At 35.4% G+C, this 24716-nt stretch overlaps 1 protein-coding gene across 123 annotated transcripts in view; it reads right to left on the reverse strand.

Annotated features, from left to right (window-relative positions):
- The window catches only part of UTY (ubiquitously transcribed tetratricopeptide repeat containing, Y-linked), a 246776-nt gene that overhangs the window by 121104 nt on the left and 100956 nt on the right, over positions 1 to 24716 (reverse strand). For 31 of the 123 annotated variants that reach the window (NR_047627.1, NR_047602.1, NR_047630.1 and 28 more), the window contains 7 exons: positions 14258 to 14351; positions 11269 to 11395; positions 5432 to 5530; positions 4769 to 4988; positions 2879 to 2971; positions 925 to 1020; positions 5 to 400 (listed from right to left, as the gene is read on the reverse strand). Coding sequence is in view for 67 of the 123 variants with exons in the window: in NM_001400173.1 (NP_001387102.1) it covers positions 5 to 400; positions 925 to 1020; positions 2879 to 2971; positions 4769 to 4988; positions 5432 to 5530; positions 11269 to 11395; positions 14258 to 14351 (1125 nt within the window). In the remaining 56 variants the exon portion in view is untranslated. Of the gene's footprint in view, positions 1 to 4; positions 531 to 639; positions 706 to 924; positions 1021 to 2878; positions 2972 to 3312; positions 3622 to 4089; positions 4225 to 4768; positions 4989 to 5431; positions 5531 to 11268; positions 11396 to 14257; positions 14352 to 24716 lie in introns of all 123 variants that reach the window. The other 92 variants (NR_047613.1, NR_047612.1, NR_047621.1 and 89 more) reach the window with 27 other exon arrangements.

Raw genomic sequence — 24716 nt, forward strand, 5'->3', positions numbered from 1 at the left:
TTACCTGAGCGGAGTTAGATAGCTGTTTTCTCCATGGCTCTTCTGTGCTGCTGTTCAGGTCTGTATGATTATGAGGTAGAGTGTGTGTATTTTGCTGCAGGTAAGGCACATTTCCATTACTTTCACTTCCTGCTATACAATTACTGCCTAGCAAGATAGTGTCTGTACTTCCTAGAATTTTTGATGTGCCACAAGGAATACAGCCTGCAGAAAAAGCTCCACTGGACAAAAGTTTTTCAACACAAGCAGGGCGAACTCCAGGCTGAGAGACGCTAGATACTCTGGTCAGAGCACCATGTGGTTGTCGATTAGAGACAGAGTTTGTAGGCAGTGATGAATCAGTTATGGCCCCGTTATGAATTCCAGTAGTTCGTACCTGAGCAACTTCTTTGTGTCTCATCTTCAAAAACAAAAAAGAAAAACTGCTGTGTAACTTTGAAAATGTGTAGTTCATACATCTCTAATTTCATATAACATTTCATGTCTCTAAAAAAACATATAGACAATAGATCCACTTTAATATATAATTCCTATAAAAAGAAGAAAGGTGTTTCAGTATGTAAAGAAATCGGCCTTTATTAACAGCTCAAGGGCAAAATAAAGCTGCTAAAGATTATAAATAATGATTCAAAAACTTACAGGCCATTTTTCCTTCATGAAACAGAAGATTTCAAATTTCCATTCAGTTTACATTCTTGTCAAATCCTTCAAATCAATCATTTGGATCTAAGTTAATCTGAGTATATTTCCTTTTTAAAAAATTTGTCCATTACTAACACATATGTAAAACTCAGATATATACATCCCATGAAATATACACAGAAACTATAAATTAGCATTAATATCCTCTAAAATGATACTGTAGTAAAGAAATATTCTCAAACTGTTGGTAAATTTTAGAGAAAATAAAAATATTATACATACTTGCTGCATTAAGACAAACTGACTTTCTAACTGTTCCAGCTGATGCTTCTGTGCTGGATTTAAATTATCTCTATTTGCTCGCAGTTGTTCCAAGTGCTAGAAGAAAAGAGATTAATATAATCAAAGTTTAATCTAAAATTTAAGACAATATAAGGCAACTCCTCACTAAAAAGACTACACAGAACCTTTGCAGGATGAAAGACAGTGATTCCTAATGAACGTTAAGATAGTGATTCTTTTTTTTTGTTGTTGAGACAGAGTCTTGCTCTGTCGCCCAGGCTAGAGTGCAGTGGTGCAATCTCTGCTCACTGCAACCTCTGCCGCCTGGGATCACGCCATTCTCCTGCCTCAGCCTTCTGAGTAGCTGGGACTACAGGCATGTGCCACCATGCCCGGCTAATTTTTTGTATTTTTAGTGGAGACAGAGTTTCAACGTGTTAGCCAGGACGCTCTCGATCTCCTGACCTTGTGATCCGCCTGCCTTGGCCTCCCAAAGTGCTGGGATTACAGGTGTGAGCCACCACGCCCGGCCCCGATAGTGATTCTTAACCAATGTTACTCAAGCTCAAAATCCTTTAAGAAGTCTGAAAAAGTGGAAAGGCGTGGTGCCTCATACCTGTAATCCCAGCATTTAGGGAGGCCGAAGAGGGCAGATCACGAGGTCAGGAGATCGTGACCATCCTGGCCAACATGGTGAAACCCCAACTCTACTAAAAATACAAAAATTAGATGGGTGTAGTTGAGCATGCCTGTAATCCCAGCTACTGCGGAGGATGAGGCAAGAGAATCCCTTGAACTCAGGAGGCGGAGGCTGCAGTGAACCATGATCACATGTCACTGCACTCCAGCCTGGCGACAGAGTGTGACTCTGTCTCCAAAAAAAAAAAAAAAAAAAAAAAGTCTGAAAAAGGCAGTAAAATCTAAAATTCTGAGGAAAGCTGTTTTGTGTGGTTTTAGTTAAATGTATTATGGGGAAATAAAAATTCAAAGACAAAGCTATTTAGCTTAAAACACTTAATAATAAAAATGCTTAATGCAACATTATTTGTAACAGAATTACTGAAAAACATGTAAATGCCCAATAGTTGGGATCTGTTTAAATAACAGATTTGCCCCACCCATGCAATCATAAATCAAAGAATAGAGAAGCAATACACAGACACAGAAAGATCCTCAAGATACATCTTTAACAAAAAAACTAAGATCCTAAAATATTTGTAAAAGTGTACCTACAATTCTATTTTGAAAAGACAAACTTGGAGATCACACCTGGGCAACAAAAGTGAAACTCCATCTCAAAAAAACAAAAGACAAAACCAAACCAAAAAAAACAACAAGAGAGACTTGGCCAGGTGCAGTGGCTCACACCTGTAATCCGAGCACTTTGGGACACTGAGATAGGCACATCATTTGAGGTCAGGAGTTCAAGACCAGCCTGACCAACATGGTGAAACCCTGTCTCTACTAAAAATACAAAAAATTTAGCTGGGCATGGTGAAGCATGCCTATAGTACCAGGTATTCGGTAGGCTGAGGCAGGAGAACGGCCTGAACCCAGGAAGTGGAGACTGCAGTGAGCTGATATCATGCTACAACCTTCCAGCCTGGGCAACAAAGCAAGACTGTCTCAAAAAAAAAAAACAATACACAAACACATTTGTTTGTACATGCACAATTTACATCTCTAGAAAAAAACTGTTAACATTGCCTGTGCATGAAAAACTAAAAATAGGTGGCTAGAGGTAGAAACTGGAAGGTGCCTTCACCTTATGTCATTTAAGTTTCCTCTCCTCTCACAAAATGGATTCTGATTCCTATTATCCTGGAAAATGTGGGCTCGTTTTAATTATATTCATATTAATTTAGTTAATCATCATTCAATTAATACCTAAAAAACAACATTTACTGTTTCTACTGCTTTCGAATTGGGGGAAAGATCGTCAAAGAATTCATACCTGTAATTTCTGTGGTGTCAAACACAACGAATAAACTTGCTGTACTGGATGATGTGAAAGACTCTGGCCACCATTCCAGTTATCAGAACCATTCTAAGGAAAATTTAGTGTAAAAGATTAAGAATATTTGCTTAATTTCATACACTTAGAGTTATGACTAGTGAGAACCAAGTGACTAGGAATCGGAATAGGTATATATATGACATCCTTTTAAATCATTAAAAATTATTAAAAATGCATAATTAATTCATAAACTTACACATTTAGAAAAAAAGGACCATATTTAAATTACGTCTCAAAGAGGTAGAAAGGTGGTCTACTACTATTCAACATTCAGTTTATTTCATTGTCAGAAGTGATGGTAAAAACTGTGTTAAAATTGTAAAAGCAGGGAAATGAATAAAATGACGTGATGAACACAAACTTATCCCTACCTTCTATATTTAATGTGATGCAAAGATTATGGAATAGAAATACTGCTTCACTTTCTGATGTCCACAAGCTTAAAATACAGTCCAGGCACAATTTCAGAAGAGTTAGTTTCATTTTTGACTGGGATTTTCCATATCTCTAAAATGTATATATACCTTTGTTGGACTAGATGTTCTTTTCTTCTTGGCAGGACTGGACAGGCCTTCTACTTGGCTAGAAGTAATCATGTGTAGTGACAAGGATTGCTGTAAAATTGGTGTTTGACTGTGGTTTAATACATGTTCAGTATTTGGATCATGAGCTCTATAAGCCTAAGGATCACAGAAGTAAGATAAAAATATGGTTCTACATATTCCTAATTCACTCCTTCAAATTATAAAACTTCATATACTTTTCAACACTATGCGGACATCATTGATGGTAATTATTCAAAATTATAATCAAATGAATCATCAAGGGAGCAATGTGTGTCTTCTTCAGAAAAGTTTCATCTTTTAAACTTAATAAACAACTATAGAAATGTCACTTAAGAAATTACTTTCTAATTATGAGAATATACAAAGGTTTAAACTGGCACCCGTATTCCTTCCCATATCAGAGGGAATTTTATTTTTATTTTCTAAAACTCTTTAGAATTAAAAAATTTTTATTTTTTAATTAAAAAGATTTCTCTATTTTAAAGTCAATCCTTTGTTTAGTGAAATAAACTTGATTACTGAAGAGTGAAAAAAAAAAACCCTTAAAGCTGGGCACCTACAGAACATAACCCAACTTCTCACCTGCTGTGCTGTGTTCATGGCACCCTGCCTGGAGGTAAGCTCTGCGGGGATTGGTAGGCTCCATGCCTCCTCAATACTAGGAAGTAATTTAGTTTTATTCTGTAGACTACTTTGTGGAAGGTTACACAACTGAGCCTAGGAAAAATTATGTAAAAAGCAAATTTAACACAAGCCTACTTGAGTAAGAGCAAGTCCACTAAATCTTCCTCAGGGTTATAGGTATTTAAAAAAAAATTCTAAATTTGGGGATTTTAGGTAGATGTTAAATATAAAGAGGGCAACTAGAATATTCTTTGGAGAATCAGAACAAACACAAGCTCTATTTTTCAGTTCTCACAGATATCTTCTCATGAAATTTTAAGCAAGAGTGAAAAATGGCATTTGTTATTTTCTCTACAATGTTATGAAAAGTTAAAAATGCAGATAAGCACACTGAAAAAGTTCATGCATAGTAATGTAAAATGTAAATATGCATCAATAAAGTAAATGTGCAAAAGAACATAGTTTACATACTGCATTTCACTTAAAATTAAATGAAAAATAATACCACAAAATATTACAAAATATGGAAACAAGGCAACATCAAAACACAAATAGACAAACTTGCCAGCCACCCTTCTCCTGCCAATTATTATAGGAATATACGTGTCATTTAAAATATACTATTTAAAATTTTTACCTGTAGAAATTTAATTCTTGCAGCAAGCGTAGAGGTATTACTACAACGTTTGCTTCTAGCTGCATTTAGGTAGCATTTAATGGCATCTTGAGGTTGATTGCAGGATTCATAGAGAGTACCTAGGTCCATCCAGGCTGCGGCATGCCCATGGTCCAATTGTACAGCACAAATATATGCCTGTAAAGCATCCATAGGCTGATTTTGCTGCTGATACAACACACTGGAAAGAAAAAGAATGCTGTCAAAAACTACTGGTTACTTTCGTTCGTTTATTTTTCTGTTGTTTTCAGACAGTGTCTCACACTGTCTCCCAGGCTGGAGTGAAGTGGCATTTCCATGGCTCACCACACCCTTGACCTCCCCAGCTCAAGCAACCCTCCCACCTCAGACTCCTGCGTACCTGGGCCTATAGGACATGCCACCATGCCTGGCTATTTTTTTAAATTTTTTTCATGGAAATAGAGTGTTACCATATTGCTCAGGCTGGTCTTGAAACCCCAGACTCAAGAGATCAACCAGGCTCAGCTTCCCAAAGTGCTGGGATTATAGGCATGAACTACTATATCCAGCCAGTTAATTTTATATTACTATACAGTATATTAGATGTTTCAATCATCCAGTGTATCAAGCGAGCTTCTACTGCTTTTATATATATAGCCTTACCCTATTGAACACCATGTATCTGCACTTGCTTCTGATTTATCAATAGATTGCCTGTAAGATATAAAGGCATCCTGAACTTTCCCAATACTTGAATAACACCTAAAAGGAAAAAATATAAATAAATACAATTCCATTAATAATTTATTTGCCAAAAAGATGAACTGTATTCCAAAGAAGAAAAAATGGGCAAGCATATGAGTATGTGTGTAAATATGATTACTGATGTACTTTATGATTTTACATTGTCGATGTACATTATATGATTTATTTTAATCTCTATTGTAACTTGCTGTTAAATACTGTCTTGAAAGAGCTAGTACGTTATATTAATAAACTTTTCTGAAACTATTGAAGATTTCTTCAATACTATAATATTGAGGGTTAAACATAAAGCTCTCTATTTACACAAGTTTGAACGCAGGCTTCCTACATTATAAGAACAGAGTTAAATCTAAAGAGAAAAGTACCTTTGATAATGACTTTTATATTAGGATTTAATAGTCCCCTTCCACTTAGTAACACTCAGAACAATCATTCTTTGTTATCTGTGTGATTTGTTTAAAAAAGTAAATCTATTGTAAAAATGATCAACATGTAATTCTCTACATATAAAGTTTTTAACTTTATATTCTTTATGATGGAGGAATTCTATGTGTGTGCATATGTTACCAAGAAGCCATCTGTATAATTTCACTTTATTATGACATTAAATGATACAAAACAGCAAAAACCCTACAATATCTTTACTGGTACAGGTACTATAGGTTGATCACTCAATCTCTTCTAACTTATGTATCCCAAACAGCTGGGAACCACAGATTAAAACAGAAAACATGAGAAGAGGCATTTCGTATAGGTTTGAAAAATATGTGCAAATATTACTCAACCTACAAATGGAAATTTTTAAATCTAGGCTATCAACTTGAGATATGTATTTTAAAGGGCAAGTAATATGATTAAAATGAAAATAAACGTGTACCGACAAAACCATATTAGACACTGGTAAAGAACTATAGGGGAAATAACAGAAATGGCAAGACAGAAAAAGATGGGGAAAAATAATCAAACTTAAGGATTAATAAAGACTTGATGATGTGATTAGAGAGTAGGGGTTGGGGGGGCAATTGTTATAAGCCTGGTTCACTGGGAAAACAGCAGTTATCATTTAAAAATGAACAAAAGAAAACACACACACAAATCAGGAAAGTTGCTAAAGAACACCATGAAGAAGGTTTTTAAAAATGCTAATTTAGATGTGATGTGAGGACTTTGGTAATGTTCAGTAAAAACAACCAGATGTGGTACCGAATTATAAGCTAACTTAAAGTCAGAGATTTTAATTTGGAATTTACTCATATGAGAGAGTGATTTAAGAACACAGGATGCATGTAAGAGAGGTGTAGAAACATGTCTACAGAATGAGTCATTAATGGGCTGGGAAATACAAGAAATGCCAGTAACTGAAACAGAGATATTTAGAGGATGCATACAAACTGTTGTGGGGGAGGGGAGTTGTTGATAAGAAGATACTTAATGACAATGTAACAGCGACAGACACCAGAAAGAATGTGAATATGAATAGAAAAGAAAGAAATTTTCTTAAAACCAATTTCAGATTATCAGACAAATCTGGCTAATACTGGAAGAAATAAGCAGTATTTTCTCAGACCAACATTTTCCAATTCCATTTACAAAAAGTGCAAACTAGAAAGCCAATGCACTGAAACACAGGTCTGAGTCCAGTCACCAAAAACTTTCCCTTTAATGCAACATGTCTAGGCTCCTCTGTGGTAATCTAGAGTAATACAAAAAGCACAGGGTATATTTGAGTTGCAACTCTTTCTCTGATAATAATTACATGTCACCTTGAGGAAAACATTTTATTCCTCTGGACTTACTTCCTACATCTATAAAATGAAAGAGTGAACAAAGGTATTCCCCTAATCTCTTCCAAATTTAACATTACACACAGTTCTGTGACTCCAGGAGACTATTTTAAGTGAGGCAATAACCAGTGTCATTACAAATGTATTACTACATCCCCATTTCACTTTGATATGTACAATCCAATTGAAAAGCTAAATAAATATTCAACACAGCCCTAAATAATGACAAATTATCAGATGCCTATGTGTTTTACTAACACCCAATGTCCTTATGCAGAGCTTTAATAACTTTTAAAGTATAACTTTTAACACATCATTTTTTCAGCACAAATCACATTAGAAGCATTAAATCAGAAGGCAGTAGATGAGACTGAAAAAGGTAAAAGCAAAGAAAAAATTTTCCATGAAACCAAAGCAGGTTAATTACCTTCATCTGAGAAGTCAAGAAAGTTTTCTGTGAAAATTTTAGCTAAAAACATTAAAACCAAACCACACCCCAATGCCTTAAATTCATATGACTCAGGGAAAGCCCTTTGTCAATACTACTTTCCTTACAGAGCTATAAAAGTATATTATTGAAACTAATTTTACTTCCTTTTTTTTTTTTGACATAGAGTCTCACTCTGTTGCCCAGGCTGGAGTGCAATGGCAAGATCTCAGCTCACTGTAACCTCTGCCCCTGGGTTCAGGTGATTCTCCCGCCTCAGCCTCCCAAGCAGCTGGGACTACAGGCATGCACCACCACGCCCAGCTAATTTTTGTATTTTTAGTAGAGACAGTGTTTCACCATATTGGCCAGGCTGGTCTCCAACTACTGGCCTCATGATCCACCCGCCTCGGCCTCCCTAAGTGCTGGGATTACAGGTGTGAGCTACTGCACCTGGCCTTCATTTTGTTTTTTTGAGACAGGTCTCACTTTGTCACCCAGGCTGGTGTGTAGTGGCATGATCACACCTCACTGCAGCCAGCCTCCTTCCTCACAACCTCAGCCTTCCCAGTAGCTGAGACTATAGGCGGGCACCACCACACCCAGCTAATTTTGGTATTTTGGGTACAGACAGGGTTTCGCTATTTTGCCCAGGATGGTATTTGACTTCTGAATTCAAGCATTCCAGCCTCTTTGGCCTCCCAAAGTGCTAGGATTATAGACATGAGCCTGAAACTGTAATCTTAAGCATCTTTCATTACATTATCTTATAAAATGCTACAAGAAGTAAACAATAACAACTATCCTTTACAATAATGAGATATTCCAGTACTATAACAAAACATGCAACGAATCTTATTCTTGAAAAAAAAAGCAAAAAATGTCCTGGTTCACAGTCTTTCTATTTATAGTAAAAAGAACTGCTCAAATATAATAAAACTTAAGGCCACAGACCAATGTTTACACCTGCTCCGTTTGGTAATTAACCTCTTTTAATGTTACTGTATTAAGGCAAAAGCTAACAGTATATAACAGTGCCGGCTCTAAGCCTAAATCCTACTTAGTTCACTTGCTCTATTTAGTAACAAAACTATTGCATTGAGTAATAAAGCCAGGTTGCTCAAAACACTTTGTTGTGCAATGCAGATACAAAAAAGATTCAGCTTCTCCTGAACTTGAGTGGTGGGTCAAGTCAAAGTTTGGAACTCTCAAGTTTTGTATTACTAGCAACCCAAGGTCAAATATTTTATAAACCCTAGAGTTCTTCATTACAAAAACTTTACCACAAAGCATTAACTTCATTTTTATTATTTATCATTAACAGAAGACCAATATTTTTAATAAGGAATAATCCTAACAATAGTCTCCCTTTAATATAAATATGCTTTCCTTTCAAAAAAAAAAACATTGTACACAAAGTTAACAGAAAAACTAAATTTGAACATGTCTGCATGTCAAAGTTACACAAAATGAGCTACCCTATGTAAAAAAAAAAAAAACCAAAATTTACCACTGAAACAAATCAGAGCAATTAAATTAAGATATAACCTTGTTTTGAAAAGGTGCCTGACAGTTATAATTGAATCCTCTCAAGAGTTAAGAAAAATTGAGATGTCAAGTAGTTTATTTATTTTTTTAATTTTTGAGATGGAGTCTCTATCTCCTAGTTTGAAGTGTAGTGACATGATTTTGGCTCACTGCGGCCTCTGTCTCCTGTGTTCAAGAGATTCTCCTGCCTCAGTCTCCAGAGCAGCTGGTATTATAGTCGCCTGCTCACCACACCCACCTAATTTTTGTATTTTTAGTAGAGATGAGGTTTCATCAAATTATCCGCCCACCTTGGCCTCCCAAAGTGCTGGGATTACAGGCATGAACCACTATACCTGGCCTCAAGCAGTTTTAAATGGACTATCAATGATTCCACAGTTAACAGCAAAGCCAGGATTTAAAACCCAGGTTTCTGAGTCTTCAATCCATTGATCTTTGCAACACACTAAATTACAATCTAGTGATTTAAAAAAACATGTACATGTACAAATATGTATTCTATCAGACACATAAATATTATACCAGTAGGTATAATTCAGACAGTCAACATTCAAAGTAAGAAAAATATGGAGAAAAAATGTCTGGGTTACCAAAAATTTTTTATGTTCCTACCATAACGAACAATAATAACTTATGCATTTCCTCTAGAATTTCCACTAGCACTGTAATTTGAGAGCTATGATTAATAAAAATATTTCCATATTAATATAAAAAATCACCAGCCAAGATTATAAACAGCAAATTTCTACTGATGACTGACAGATAAAATTAAAACTTGGGGTTTTGCTGAATATTTTTTAAAACGCTAGATATCAAAGGAAATACAATTTAAATACTAAATTGAAAACTATTGGTGATTATTATGTGATGGTACCCTTTAAAACCCTTTTAAGACTCTTTAAAAGCTAGCAATAACTGTACTCAGATTAAGAAAATGTGATGGTGATATCACAACTCTACTAAACACAAAAATCATCCGAGCGTGGTGGCACACCCCTGTAGTCCTAGCTACTCAGGAGGCTGAGGCACAAGAATCACTTAAGCCCGGGAGGCAGAAGTTGCAGTGAGCCGAGATCATGCCACTGCATTCCAGCCTGGGCAACAGAGCAAGACTGTGTCTCAAAAAAAAAAAAAAAAAAGAAAAGAAAAACATGAAAACAAAATGTAGTAAGTAAAAGAAGAGTACCTCAATAAGAGCAACTAAATTCAAAGCTATCTATTTTTACCTCCTAGGAACTTTTTATTTTCTAAGCACATAATATAATTATATTTTAATGTGAAATAAAAAATATAATTATTTTAATTAGGGGGATATTTAAATTATATTTTAAACATTAATTATATTGTAATAAAAATGTAATTATATCTTAATTTTAATTAAATTACGATTATAACAGCAGTAAATAACCACAACAAAACTTCAAGTTTATATGGGAAAAGCAAAATAAAATGTAGGTTCGAAGAGCTATAGGAGTAGTATACAGTGGATACCACAGATTTTGTTTAATAATTAGATTAATAACTACAGCTACACAGACAACTGAAAGACTAATTGGGAACTAATTAATTAATTAATTTATTTATTTATTTTGAGACAGAGTCTTGCTCTGTCACCTAGGCTGGAGTGCAAGGGTGTGATCTCAGCTCACTGCAACCTCTGCCTCCGGGCTCACGCCATTCTCCTTTCTCAGCCTCCTGAATAGCTGGGACTATAGGCACCCACCAACACGCCCGGCTAATTGTTTGTATTTTTAGTAGAGATGGAGTTTTACCATGTTAGCCAGGATGGCCTCGATCTCCTGACCTTGTGATCCACCCGCCTCGGCCTCCCAAAGTGCTGGGATTATAGGCGTGAGCCACCCCGCCCAGCCGGGAGTTTATTTTTAAAATTTCACTTCTCAGATTACATTTTATAAAATCTACAAATGATTTTACATTACAAATAAACTCTAGATAGCACGAGTATTTCATCTCACCTTCCAAGAAAATACCACGATTGGCCAGAATTAGGATCTGCCTCCAAAGACTTTTGGAGATACTGAATAGCATAGCTTTCCTTTGTGGCTTTGTCTCCTACTAGATCCATATTATGATGCATCCAACCTATAATTAAGAAGTTATAAGCATTTACCCATCATTCTACTTCTTCAGTTTCAAGAAAATCATGCAGGAAACAGCAAATTACTTTTTCAGTAATTTATTCATGTAACTTAGATCACATTTTCCCAAAATTTAAAACTACCAAAGTTTAGAGAAGTTTATTTCACACAAAATGATACAATCAAAGCTAAAAAGGGATCTTAAAGCACACACAGATAACTAAATGATTTTAGGAACTGGATTGACATGGAGATGACAAATCAAATTCTCTTTTATAAATTTAGTTTGGAAAAAAATGCAAGTTATAAATTTTAAGTATAAAATTGATAAATTTACTGTCCTTTAAAGGTTACCATGCAGTGAGAGAAATTCAAAAACAACTTTCAACCCCATGCTTACATCCAAAGAATAAAAAAATGCTTATGTAATCAAAGATAATTCATTTACATTCCTTCTGCTGCTGTTGTTGAGACGGAGTCTCGCTCTATCGCCCAGGATGGAGTGGAGTGGCACAACCTCAGTTCACTACAATCTCTGCATCCTATGTTCAAGAGATTTTTCTGTCTCAGCCCCTCAAGTAGTTGGGATTACAGGAATGGGACACCATGCCTGGCTAATTTTTGCATTTTTATTAGTGACGGCATTTCACCATGTTGGGTAGGCTGGTCACAAACTCCTGGCCTCAAGTTATCTGAACACCTCCGCCTCTCAACAATGTACTGGGATTACAGGCAGGAGCCACCACACCCATTTATATTCTTTTTAATAGCTGCTTTCGGACTTTTACCTAAAATATAATCCTTTATAAAATCTCAAAATAATACAAAGTAACACTTTAAACAACTTACAAAAGGCCTCATACATTACTGACATTATTTATTTATAATAATAACATTATTAATGTCACAGCATTAGATAAACAATCACAACAAAACTTCTAGGCTATATGGAAAAAGCAAAATGAAAACTAGGTTCAAAGAGCCATAAGAGTGGTACACAGTGTGTGCCGCAGATTTTTGTTTAATAAATAGATTATGAACTACAGCTACATAAACAATTGAAATCTAATAGATAATATATGCTAAATGCTCAAGTCAAATCAAAAACAGTCTGTCAGCTGTGACTTAATTCAAGTGTATAAAATTAGCTTTCCAAAAGCATCTAAGCAAAACTCTGCCCAATTGCTTTTGAAATTGTGGATAAAACAGTGACAGAAAAAAAATTTATATTACCACCAACTTGAGTAAAAGTTAGGATTTTATTTGCTTAGACCAAAGCCAAAAAATAACTGTACTGAAGGACTACCAACAAACATTAACCCAAATAGCAAATACAATCAAGATAAATAAGCAACGAAATTAATTACTGGGGAGGGGACTTGCTATATTCTATATGATAACATATTATTTTATACTACTTTCAAACACTAGATTACCTTATCTTCAATATGAGAATGTAACAGATTTTTGACAAGAAAACCCACTAAGATGTTCTATAAATTTTAGGTGAAATGTTTCCATTGATCATGTATCAATACAACTATAAAGCAAGTTTAGTATCCACTTACCAGCTGTGTGATAATCTTAATCTAATTTACTTAAGTCAAACCTCATCCTGTCGTCAAGCAGTAGGGGAAGTCCAGAATCCAATACTAGCTGCAGTAAGCACTATCTTTTTTTTTTTTTTTTTTTTTGAGACGGAGTCTCGCTCTGTCGCCCAGGCTGGAGTGCGGTGGCGCGATTTCGGCTGACTGCAAGCTCCGCCTCCCAGGTTCACGCCAGTCTCCTGCCTCAGCCTCCCGAGTAGCTGGGACTACAGGTGCCCGCCACAATGCCTGGCTATTTTTTTTTTTTTTTTTTTTTACTAGAGATGGTGTTTCGCCGTGTTAGACAGGACAGTCTCCATTTCCTGACCTCGTGATCCGCCTGCCTTGGCTCCCAAAGTGCTGGGATTACAGGCGTGAGCCACTGCGCCCGGCCTTGTTTTTTTTCTTTGTTTGTTTGTTCTGAGACAGAGTCTCGTTCTGTTTCCCAGGCTGGAGTGCAGTGGCGCAATCTCGGCTGACTGCAGCCTCTGCCTCCTGGGTTTAGGTGATTCTCCTGCCTCAGCCCCCCATGTAGCTGGGATTACAAATGCACGCCACCACGCCTGGCTAATTTTTGTATTTTAGTAGAGAGGGGGTTTCACCATGTTGGTCAGGCTGGTCTCAAACTCCTGACCGTAAGTGATCTGACCATGCTGGACCCCGACAGTGCTGGGACCTGGCCAGCACTAAGGACTATCTTTATACAGATGGTGAGAAGGAGTGTGCTTGATACTATGTTTATCAACAATGAAAATACACTTAGAAAACATTTATACAGTAGTCCCCCATTACCTTCATTTTTGCTTTCTATGGTTTCAGTCTCCCAGTGCCAAAAAATATTTAATGGAAAAATCTCAGAAATAAAATATAAGTTTTAAATTGCATGCCACTCTGGGTAGCATGATGAAAACTCAAACTACTACAGCTACTCCTACTCTCTCTAGTGTATCCACACTGTCTATGCTACCCACACAGTAGTCACTTAGTAGTCATCTTAGCTACAAGATTAGAAAAACATAATAAAATACAGGGTTTGGAACTATCGGCAGCTTCCAGAGTATCATGGAACATATAACTCCGGTAAAACAGGGAACTACTGTAATAAAATTATTTATTTAAAATTTTACCTCAAAATAATACGTAATAATTAAATGTCACATTTAGTCTTAACCCATAGACTTCTAAATGAAAACAAATGTCTAAGCAGAGGGAAAAAAATTGAACCTCAAAAGGCAAATCTCTTCAAATTAATGTAATGTATAATAAAAGTTTTCATGTACCTAACTGTTGCAATACAGTTGCTTTTACTTGTGCAGGAAGGTTTTCTGTCTGCAAAAGTTGTTCATATGCCTCCTTTGCAGAATGATACTTCCTCTAAAGAGCAAAGGAAAAAGAATATTTAGAGAAAAATAAATATTAAAATAAAAATACTCTTGATTTTAACAATATATACATGGCCATACTTAACTTATAAGTAACAAATAATAAATCAATACGTAATGATGAATATTAAAAATTATAAATGTGATAATAAAAAATAAAGTAATATTACAATATTATTAAAATAGCTAGCAATGAAGATTTACATACTAATAATGTTTAAGAAGTTTCTAGTACCATAAAAAAGTAACAAAGTAAAAATTGCTAATATTTTAACTGAATATTTATTTTGCCCAGGCCAGCCATGTTTCAGATTACAGCAAAAAAACTAACATTAAATATAACAAGGTGTAACCAAATATTCCAACATTTAAAAAAAATCTGTATCTCAAATGCCACAAAAAAACTGCAACCTCTAACTTCATTTAAGTAACATTCATAAAGCTACAGGAGTATTCTATCAGAAAATGCAGTATTAGCCTAGAAATACTTTCAAAGAGAACAGTAATTTGTTAATAGATCAAGTACCACTATTCTTTACAAACTACTGCTCTTAGCAAAAAGTACAGAATCAAAACAGTGCTTAAAATTTAAATTCAAAATTTAAAATATACAGTTCTGGAAAATACTCTTTAGAAATATTTATAATTTTAAAGACATTACATTTTCCATAGATATAAAGTAACTGTTTGTAATATTTAAGGTTATAAGCAATTTTCTAAGTAAAACCATTTGCACAGCTCTACCTCACAAAGTACTAATACAACTAAAACCTATTATTGTTACAGTTATAAAGTTAAACTCAACTCCTCCAAACTAAAATAAAACCAATAAATATTGAATCTGAAATATACATAGCAAAACCATGCTAAACAATGCAGTAAGAAAGTGGCTTGTACTTATAATCTCAGCTGCCTAAGCAGCTTTAACATTTTAAAAATAAAATAACAAAATGATAGAGTGCCACTTCAAGAGCTACTAATGATTGTAACAAATTGGCAGAGCAATATAACTAAATCAATGCTGTGTAAACTGGGACTGAAAATAAATGTAACCAAAACTGACAGAGAAAACAGTGAGAGGTAAACAACACTATTTTTCTCTCTTTCTCTTTCTCTCACACACACATGCAAATAGCAAAACTGACCAAAACCAGGTGAAAGCAAAAGTCACAAGTAATGAAAAATGAAGTAAAATATAAGCACTTAAATTCATAAAAAACACATTTTCAAATAGGGCACTAGAGATCACTGGGGAGTATCAGAAGGAAAGAAAATACAGAGTAAAACATTCAAAATATTTTAACTGCAAAAAATTACAATTAAAAATGGCTAACCATCTCAATGCAAAAAAGCAGGGGCAGAGGGCATGACAAAATGTATCACTTTTTCATGATTAAACAGAAAAAATTGGCTTGGCGAGGTGGCATATGTCTGTCATCCCAGCACTTTGAAAGGCCGAGGTGGGTGGATCGCTTCAGCCCAGGAGTTCAAGACCAGTCTGACCAACATGGTGAGACCCCATCTCTACAAAAAAGTATAAAAATTAACCGGGCATAGTGTCACACACCTGTAATCTTGTAATCTCAGCTACTCAGGAGGGTTAGGAAGGAGAAGTGCTTGAACCTGGGAGGTGGAGGCTGCAGGGAGCCAAGATTGAGTCACTGCACTTCAGCCGAGCGACAGAATGAGAGCCTGTCTCCAAAACACAACAATACAAAAACCCAAACCTCAAAAATTATAAATGGAAGGGAGATTCTTCAATGTAAGAAAGGCCATATGTGATAAGCCCTCCAAAAATGTCAGTGAAAACACTGACAGCTCTTCCCGTAATATCAAGAACTACAAAGGAAACCAAAATCACATTTCTACTCAACTTAGTAATGAAAGTTCTAGCTAAGCAATTAGACAAGAAATAAAATGCATTCAAGTCAGAAAAGCAAGTAAGCTCATTTTCCTGAGATGATATGATCTATTAAAAAATTATTAAGCATACACAACCACACACACACACACACACACATGCACACACAGCAAAGTTGCCAGATTCAAAATCAACATTCAAAAATTAGTTGTACTTTAGTCCCTCCTTATCTGCAGTTTCACTTTCCATGGTTTCAGTTACCCACATGCAAATGAAGTCCAAAAATAGTAAATAAAAAAAATCCAGAAATAAAACAATTTGTAAGTTGTAAACCATGTGCTGTTCTTAGTAGCATTATCAAATCTCACAACATTCATGCCACTGGGAACTAAGTCATCACTTTTTCCAGCGTACCTGCATTATATATATGTACCCACCCTGTACATGCTTCTAAGTCTCTTACTTAGTTGCTATCTTGATTATCAGCTTGAAAACCGTGATCCATATATAGTGTCCAGTACTATTTGAGTTTTCAGGTAACCTAAGGAAAAGTCTTGAAATTGTCTCCCACAAGTAAAGCTGATGGAGAAGTTGTAGGGGTATGGGGATGAGAAGGATTACTGTACACTAACCATAGCAATTAACAATTTGAAAAGAAAATTAAGAAAACAATTCTATTAACAGGATTAAAAAGAAAAAAATTTTGAAGGAACAAGTGTACCAAAAGTGAAATATCTGTACACTGAAAACTACAAAAAATGCTAAAAGAAATTAAAGACACAAATGAATGACAGACATTCTGTGTTCATGAACTGAAATTCCTGATACTTTTGCAATGACAGCACTTTCCAAAGCAGTTTACGGATGTAAAACAATCCCTATGAAAACTGCATACTGATTTGCAGAAAATGAAAAACTCATCCTAAAATTCACATTGCAAAGGGCCAAAAACAGCCAAATAACTGTTGAAAAAATGAAGTGAAGAATTTGCACATTCAAAGTTCATACAGACTAAAACATGATAGTAAATGAAACAATACGGTATTGGTATAACAATAAAAGAGAGCCCAGAAATAAAATGCCCACACAGATGGCAAACTGATTTTCACCAGAGGTGCCAAAACATGTCAATGGAAAATAGTGTTCTAAACAAATGGTGCTTGAAAAATTCAATATCCACATTGAAAATAATGAAAATTGGTCCTTATTTTATACTACATATAAAAAATTAACTGAAAATGAATCAAAGCCCTAAATGTAAGGCTTGAATAGTAAAACTCTTAAAAAAAATTGCATGATGTCTTCACATCTTGGATTTCACAGTGATGTCTTAAACCTGACACTAAAAACATAGGTAACAAAAAGAAAAACTCGACTTCTCCAAAATTAAAACTTCTGTACATCAAAGGACACTATCAAAATAGTGAAAACAGCAAAGTGGGACAAAATATATGCAAATCATGTATTTGGCAATGGGATTAATATTCAGAATATATTTAGAACTCCTACAATTTGACAACCAAACCCCTCACAACCAATTCAAAAAAGGGCAAAGGATTTGAATAGACATTTCTCCAAGAAGCTATACATGTGGCCAATAAGCACATGAAAGGATGCTCAAAACCATTAGTTTAAGGGTACTCTAAATCAAACAATAATGAAATATCACTTCACAATCACCAGGATGAAGGCCGTGGAGAAATTTGAACCCTTGTGTATTGCCATTAAGAATGGTACAAATACTGTGCAAAACAGCTTGGTGGTTCCTTAAAATACTAAACAAAATTATATTTCTCAGCAATTCCACTAGATACATACCCAAATGAAAACAAAGACTCACATAAATACTTGTACACCGCTGTGTATAGCAGTATTATTCACAATTGCCAAAATATGGAAATAATTCAGCCGTTCATTTACAGATGAACTGCTAAGCAAAAATATAAATGTGAATGAGTATAACAAAATATTGTTCAGGCACAAAAAATAATGAAGTGAGAATGTGAATGAACCCTGAAGATTCAAAGCTAAGTAAAATAAGCAAGACACAAAAAGATAAATACTGTATGATCCATTTGTGTGATGTATCCCAACACAGACAAATTCAAAGACATAAAGCAAAGGATATCACGAGCTGAAGTCAGAAGAAAATGAAGACTTATTAAGTACAGATTTTGTATTACGAATGATAAAAAAAGTTATGGAAACAAACAGTGGCAATAGTTACACAATACTGTGAATGTACTTAATGCTACTAAAATGGCACACTTAAAAGCACATAAAATATGCCTTAGGAGGTTGAGGCAAGAGGATTTCCTTAGGCCAGGAGTTTGAGGCCTGCGTGTGCCACATAACAAGACCCCATCTTTACAAAAATGTTTTAAAAACCAGATGGGCATGGTGGCACGTGCCTATAGTCTTAAAGGTAAAAGAAGAAAAAAATAGTAAATGTCAAGGGATGTTTATTTCACTAGTTATAAAACAAACCAAAAAACAAAAAACAAGAAATACAGTCAGTATAGCATGCTGCTTTATGAAAAGGTTTATACATAAACCTATACATAGATTTGAGCCCAGGCTGGTCTCGAACTCCTGGCCTCAAGCAATCCTCTTGCTTCAGCCTCTGAAAGCACATTTTATTATTTTTAAGTGTACCATTTAAGTACATTCACAGTGTTGTGTAACCATCATCACTATTTTCAAAGCCTTTTCACCACTTGAAATACAAAATCTGTCACTTTACTAACTCCCCATTCTCTTCTGACTGCAGCCCCTGGTAACCTTTACTTTAGATCTTTAAATTTGTCTATTCTGTATATTTCATATAGGTAGATCACAGCATTTGTCCTTTTCTGCCTGGCTTTTTATTTTTATTTTTTGAGAGCTCATTGCAACCTCCACCTCCAGGGTTCAAGACAGTCTCCTGCCTCAGCCTCCTGAGTAGCTGGGATTACAGGGCACATGCCATTACCACCAGCTAATTTTTGTATTTTTAGTAGAGATGGGGTTTCACCATGTTGGCCAGGATGGTCTTGATCTCTTAACCTCATGATCCGCCCGCCTCGGCCTCCCAAAGTGCTGGGATTACAGGTGTGAGCCACCGTGCCCAGCCCAGCTTATTTCACTTAGTCTTTAAAACAAAACAAAACAAAATACATTCTTATATCCTCAATACCCTAAATTCTGAAAATTTTTAGAGAAATTAGTATATAAAAGTGTTCTCATTAGCAAAGCGGTTTGGGAACTATGACAGAAAACAGTAAAACTTTTGTTTTAGCTTTTTATATTTATTTTAAGCCACAAAAATATATCCACTGAAAATATTAAAATAAAGAATAACCATAAACATTTAAAAAACATCTTCATCCAAATGACATGGTGCCCCCACTCCATATCCCCAAGCAATTCTTGAGTTAGTAATACTTAAGACTCATCTTATGCACCAGTCCTAGAATCAGCCACTTCTCCAAGGAGCACTAGTTCCTTTTACTAGAGAATAGTATTAGTAACAAAGATCCGGGCAGTAGGTGTGCTTGCTAATAGTGTGGCATCACTGCTTCAGTTCATCTTGGCTGACAGAACAAGGATATACAGATATATATATAGCTATCTATATAAAAATACATTAATCCAAACATGAGTTCATACTGATATCACCAGATATAATCCATTTCCCATAGTTCATTCTACTATCCCCCAATGGGGTATTTGTAGACTCCTACCTCAACAGGGAATAAACTGCTCCCAAGAATACCATTCGTTTTCTTATTTGCAGAATTTCTTATTTTCCTATTTCATCTTCTCATTTCTTTTTCTCCTCCTCTATTTTTCTGTTATTTTCTATTTCTTATTTCACTGTCTTATTTGTAGAATGCCAGTATGTTATAGTTTTTGAATTTCTAAAATTTATCCCCATAACAACTTTCCCACTAACAGCACAATTCTTAGGCATAAGATTGTTTTATTTTGTTTAAACGTAGTTTCATTTCCAAAGATCAGTAGATTTCTCCCATTACTCTCTTCAAAGAGATGATGTGATACATTTATAACAAAATTTATTTGGATACAGTCTATGTTCCATTCTGGAATTTCCTGACCTCACATTATTTTTTTAAATTTTATATACATTAAAGGTTCATTCTTTAGGCTCTAAAGTCAGTTGCTTGTCTTAAATAAGTAAGCTAATGTATCCAAGATAATGTCATATATCCAACAATAGAGCAGCATGCAAAATGATTTGATTATTCTAACATAGCCTGGGGGCTTCATCTAATTATCACTCCTCTCTAAACTCCCTGAAAACACCTGATCTCATTACTATCCTTACAGTTTTTACAAAATGGCAAATAAATAGATTAACAAAGTATGGTGTCTTTTTGTAATGGCTTCTTTAACTTAACAATGTGTATTTAAGATTCAATTTTGTTGGTACGTGAATTCATAGTTCATTCCTTTGCAATATTTAGTAATATTAAATAGTATGTATTAGCACAGTTTTACACACTCACCTAGTGAAATGTATCTTGGTAGTTTCCATTATGCAGCAGTTAGGAATAAGCATTCATACACAGATTTTTGTTAGGAAAGAGACTTTCAAGTCAGTTTGGAAAACGTGCAGAAGGACTTGAGTAATACGTAAAGTCTGTATTTAGTATTATAAGAAACTGTCTTTCAAAATGACTGTTTCAATTTGCATTACCAAAAGCAATGGATTATTTATTTATGTTACTGTGTAACTTACCAGACATAATATTGTTAGGCTCTTAAAAATTTAGACTTTCTAACAGTTGTATGCTAATAGTACTAACTTATTTTTTGTTTTAACATGAATTTACCTAGTAACATCTTTTCATGTTATGTGCAATCTGAGTATCTTCTTCAATGTGTTTCTCTTCATATATTTTCACCATTTTAAATATTTTCTTATTATTACTACTGTTGGGTTTTACAAGTTTCTTGTATCATTCTACAAAGCCCTTTATTCAATATGTGATTTTTACATATTTTCTCCCAGTCTATGGCTCATCTTTTCAATCTTTTAACAGTGTTTCTGAGAGCAAAAGATTTTAATGCTAATTATCAAATATAAGTATTTTTTTCACAAGGATGGTACAAAGTGTTATATCTAAAAACTAATAATAAAGACAACTTCTTATATATTTGTATACTTGTGATCCATTTTGAATTCCATTTTGTGTACAGTGTGAGGTAGAGATCCACATTTTTTCTGCATAAATGTCCAACTGCTCATTATCATTTTTTGGAAGCACAATGCTATCATCACTGTATTATACACAGAGAACACTGTCAAAATCAGTTGACTAGACAAGCCCTGGAAGTCACTTGAGACACAACCAAAAGACAGCTTAGAAAACCAGAATTGGAAGTGTAAACTAGCTAGGCATTCTGGGTCTAGACCAATGTAGTAACAGTATTAGGACCTCCCACCTAAAAGAACAGCATGCCCAGGCTCATTCCCATCACTGAAAATACAAACAGTAGAGCACCCAAAAAAGTAAAAGAACCTAGTGGATCCCTTTTAATAAACGGCATATTCAAAAGTCCTTTTCTAAGTGTCCTTTCATCCCCGTGATGCTGAGACTACCTTCCCCAACACAAAGAGGCACCAGTCAACATGGCTGTGGAAAGCATCCTCTTCCCGTGAAACCAGCAACATTAGAGTGAGAGCCTGAAGGAACACTAAATAAACAAACAGAATAATGTAGAACCACCAATCTCTTACAAAGGAATTTTGTTTAGAACCACAGTCTGGAAGAGTAGAGACAGAATCTACATCACAAAAATGCTTCAATAATCACTTCAAATTCCCTTGAAACAAACGAAAATGACAAAGATCTCAGCAAAGAAATACAAGTTTAAAATGAAAGAAATTGAATTATAAAATTTAAAGATGCTAAAACAAAACTCACTGAACAGCTCAGTAGCACAGCAGAAATGAAAAGAGAACATAATCTTCTGTTACAATGAACCTGAGGGCTTGGCAACATAATTTACATTTGCACAACAACAAAAAAAATCAGATTAAATACATACATAAAACGAAGACCTATGGACCAATAATGAAATATCAAGCATTTACAACATAAGCATTCATAAATATGAAGCACATGTGACAAAAAGAGTAAATGATAAAATTATGGTTAAATGTCACAAATTGTCAACAGACATAAACCTATTCAAAAGGCTGAGCAGGCTGGATGTGGTGGCTCACGTCTGTAATCCCAGCACTTTGGGAGGCTGAGGTGGGTGGATCACATGAGGTCAGGAGTTTGAGACCAGCTGGCCAAGATGGTGAAACCCTGTCTCTGCTAAAAATACAAAAATCAGCCAGGCTTGGTGGCGGGCACCTGTAATCTCAGCTACTCAGGAGGCTGAGTCAGGAGAATTGCTAGAACCGGGGACGTGGAGGTTGCAGTGAGCCGAGACTGAGCCATTGTACTCCAGCCTGGGTGAGAAGAGGGTGACTCTATCTCAAAAAACAAAAAACAAAAAAGGCTGAACAAAGCTCCATGGGATAAATCCAAAAATATCTATGGCAAATATGAATTTCCCACCTGAAACCACAAACAAGAAAGGAAATCGTGTATTAGTCAACTGCTGAAAGAAAAGACTTTTCAACATAAATTATATCTGGTAAAAATGTATGTCAGGAACAAAGAAAAAGAAATACATTCTCAGATAAAGAAATTTGTTGGTAGCCAACCTACCACAAAAAGTATGATAAAAATCGAGTTCTTCAAAAAGAAATGATAAAAAGGAATCTTAGAGAATCTGAAAGAAAAAAAAAGAGCAGACATGTGTACTCAAAATAAGATTTCAACATATAAGTTTATAAAACCATGCATGGTTATTTTTAAAAAAGTATCTGGTATAACAGACTTATTTTTAAAGTGCGGAAGGTAAAAAGGCAAGGAAATAGATATAAGGGATGTCTACATTTCAACTGAAGTAGCAAAATGTCAACACTAGATGTCACATGTGCATATTGTAAATAACCAGAGAAACTAAAGAAAATTATATAGATATTTTCAAACATCCAACTGATATGTCAATATGAAATTTTAGAAGATAAATCACATAATCCCAAACAGGTCAATAATCTTCCTCAATGCAGTATGTAAAGACAACCATGGGTTTAAAAAAAAAAGAAAAAAACTCACTGTATGCCATTTACAAACAATAAGTTTCAAATTTAACACAGAATGAAAGTATGAGAATAGAAAAATGGCAAATAATATTTATAATATTTTTTTGGCCAGGTGCAGTGGCTCATGCCTATAATCCCAGCACTTTGAAAAGCCACGGCAGATGGAACACTTGAGTTCAGGAGTTTGAGACCAGCCTGGCCAACATGGCAAAACCCTGTCTCTACTAAAAGTACAAAAGTTAGCCAGGTATGGTGTCACACACCTGTAGTCCCAGCTGCTTGGGAGGCTGAGGCAGCAGAATCACTTGAATCTGGGAGGGAGAGGTTGCAGTGAGCCGAGATCACACCATTGCACTTCAGCCTGGGCAACAAAGCAGACTCTGTCTCAAAAAAAAATTTTTTTTTTCAAGCAAGTCTCATCTTTCAGCCTCCTGAGCAGCTGGGACTACAGGTGCGTGCCAGCAGGCCCAGTTAATTTTTTGTAGAGACAGGGTGTTTGGCCATGTTGGCTGGGCTAATCTTCAACTCCTGGCTTCAAGTAATCTGCCCACCTTGTGCTCCCAAATTGCTGGGATTACAAACGTGAGCCACGGGACCCCACCAGGCCTGGTCTTAATAATAATTTTTAAAGACAAAAATGTGGCTGGGTGTGGTGGCTCACACCTGTAATCCCCAGCACTTTGGGAGGCCGAGGCGGGGAGGATCAGCGTAAAATGAATTTACCAACCCCGTGCTGGGGTCTGACATCTTGCCTGGCAAATACAGACTCTGGAAACATAATTTAAACAGTCATTTAAAAACCAAATGTGGACTACAGTAATAAACAAAATCAAATTCTGAGGAGAGGGAAGAAACTGTCTTCTAGAACTGACATCTTAAAATATTTAAAATGTCAAACAAAACATAATGAACATGTAAAAAAGCAACAGAGTTGCTTCTTTCAAAAAATAAAGATTTCTGGTTTCCAATTTGGCATTTAAGAAGCTGGAAGTCATCACTCCATCCTAGCAAAGTAAAAATCCAAACAAGCTGAAAGATCAACAGCTCTTTTTAGATTCATCAGAGAAGTGGGGGTCACAGCACAAGTCAACAAACCCAAAATGGAGGAAAATGACAGACCAATGCAGGGAGTAAGGACTGGCCAGAGCAAACACCCCCGAGCACTATCCTCAGAAGGAACCAGTGCTGTCACAGGGAAATCTGAACTGTGAGTGACAAATTACAGGAGCTCAGCATGGACACATGTGAGAGATACAAATACCAGGGGGACCAGTTATCTGGGGCACACACATAAATTTCTGAGTTTTACCTCCAGTTTCTCACAGTGA

Source organism: Homo sapiens, chromosome Y (assembly GCF_000001405.40).
Source record: "Homo sapiens chromosome Y, GRCh38.p14 Primary Assembly".
NCBI lineage: Eukaryota > Metazoa > Chordata > Mammalia > Primates > Hominidae > Homo > Homo sapiens.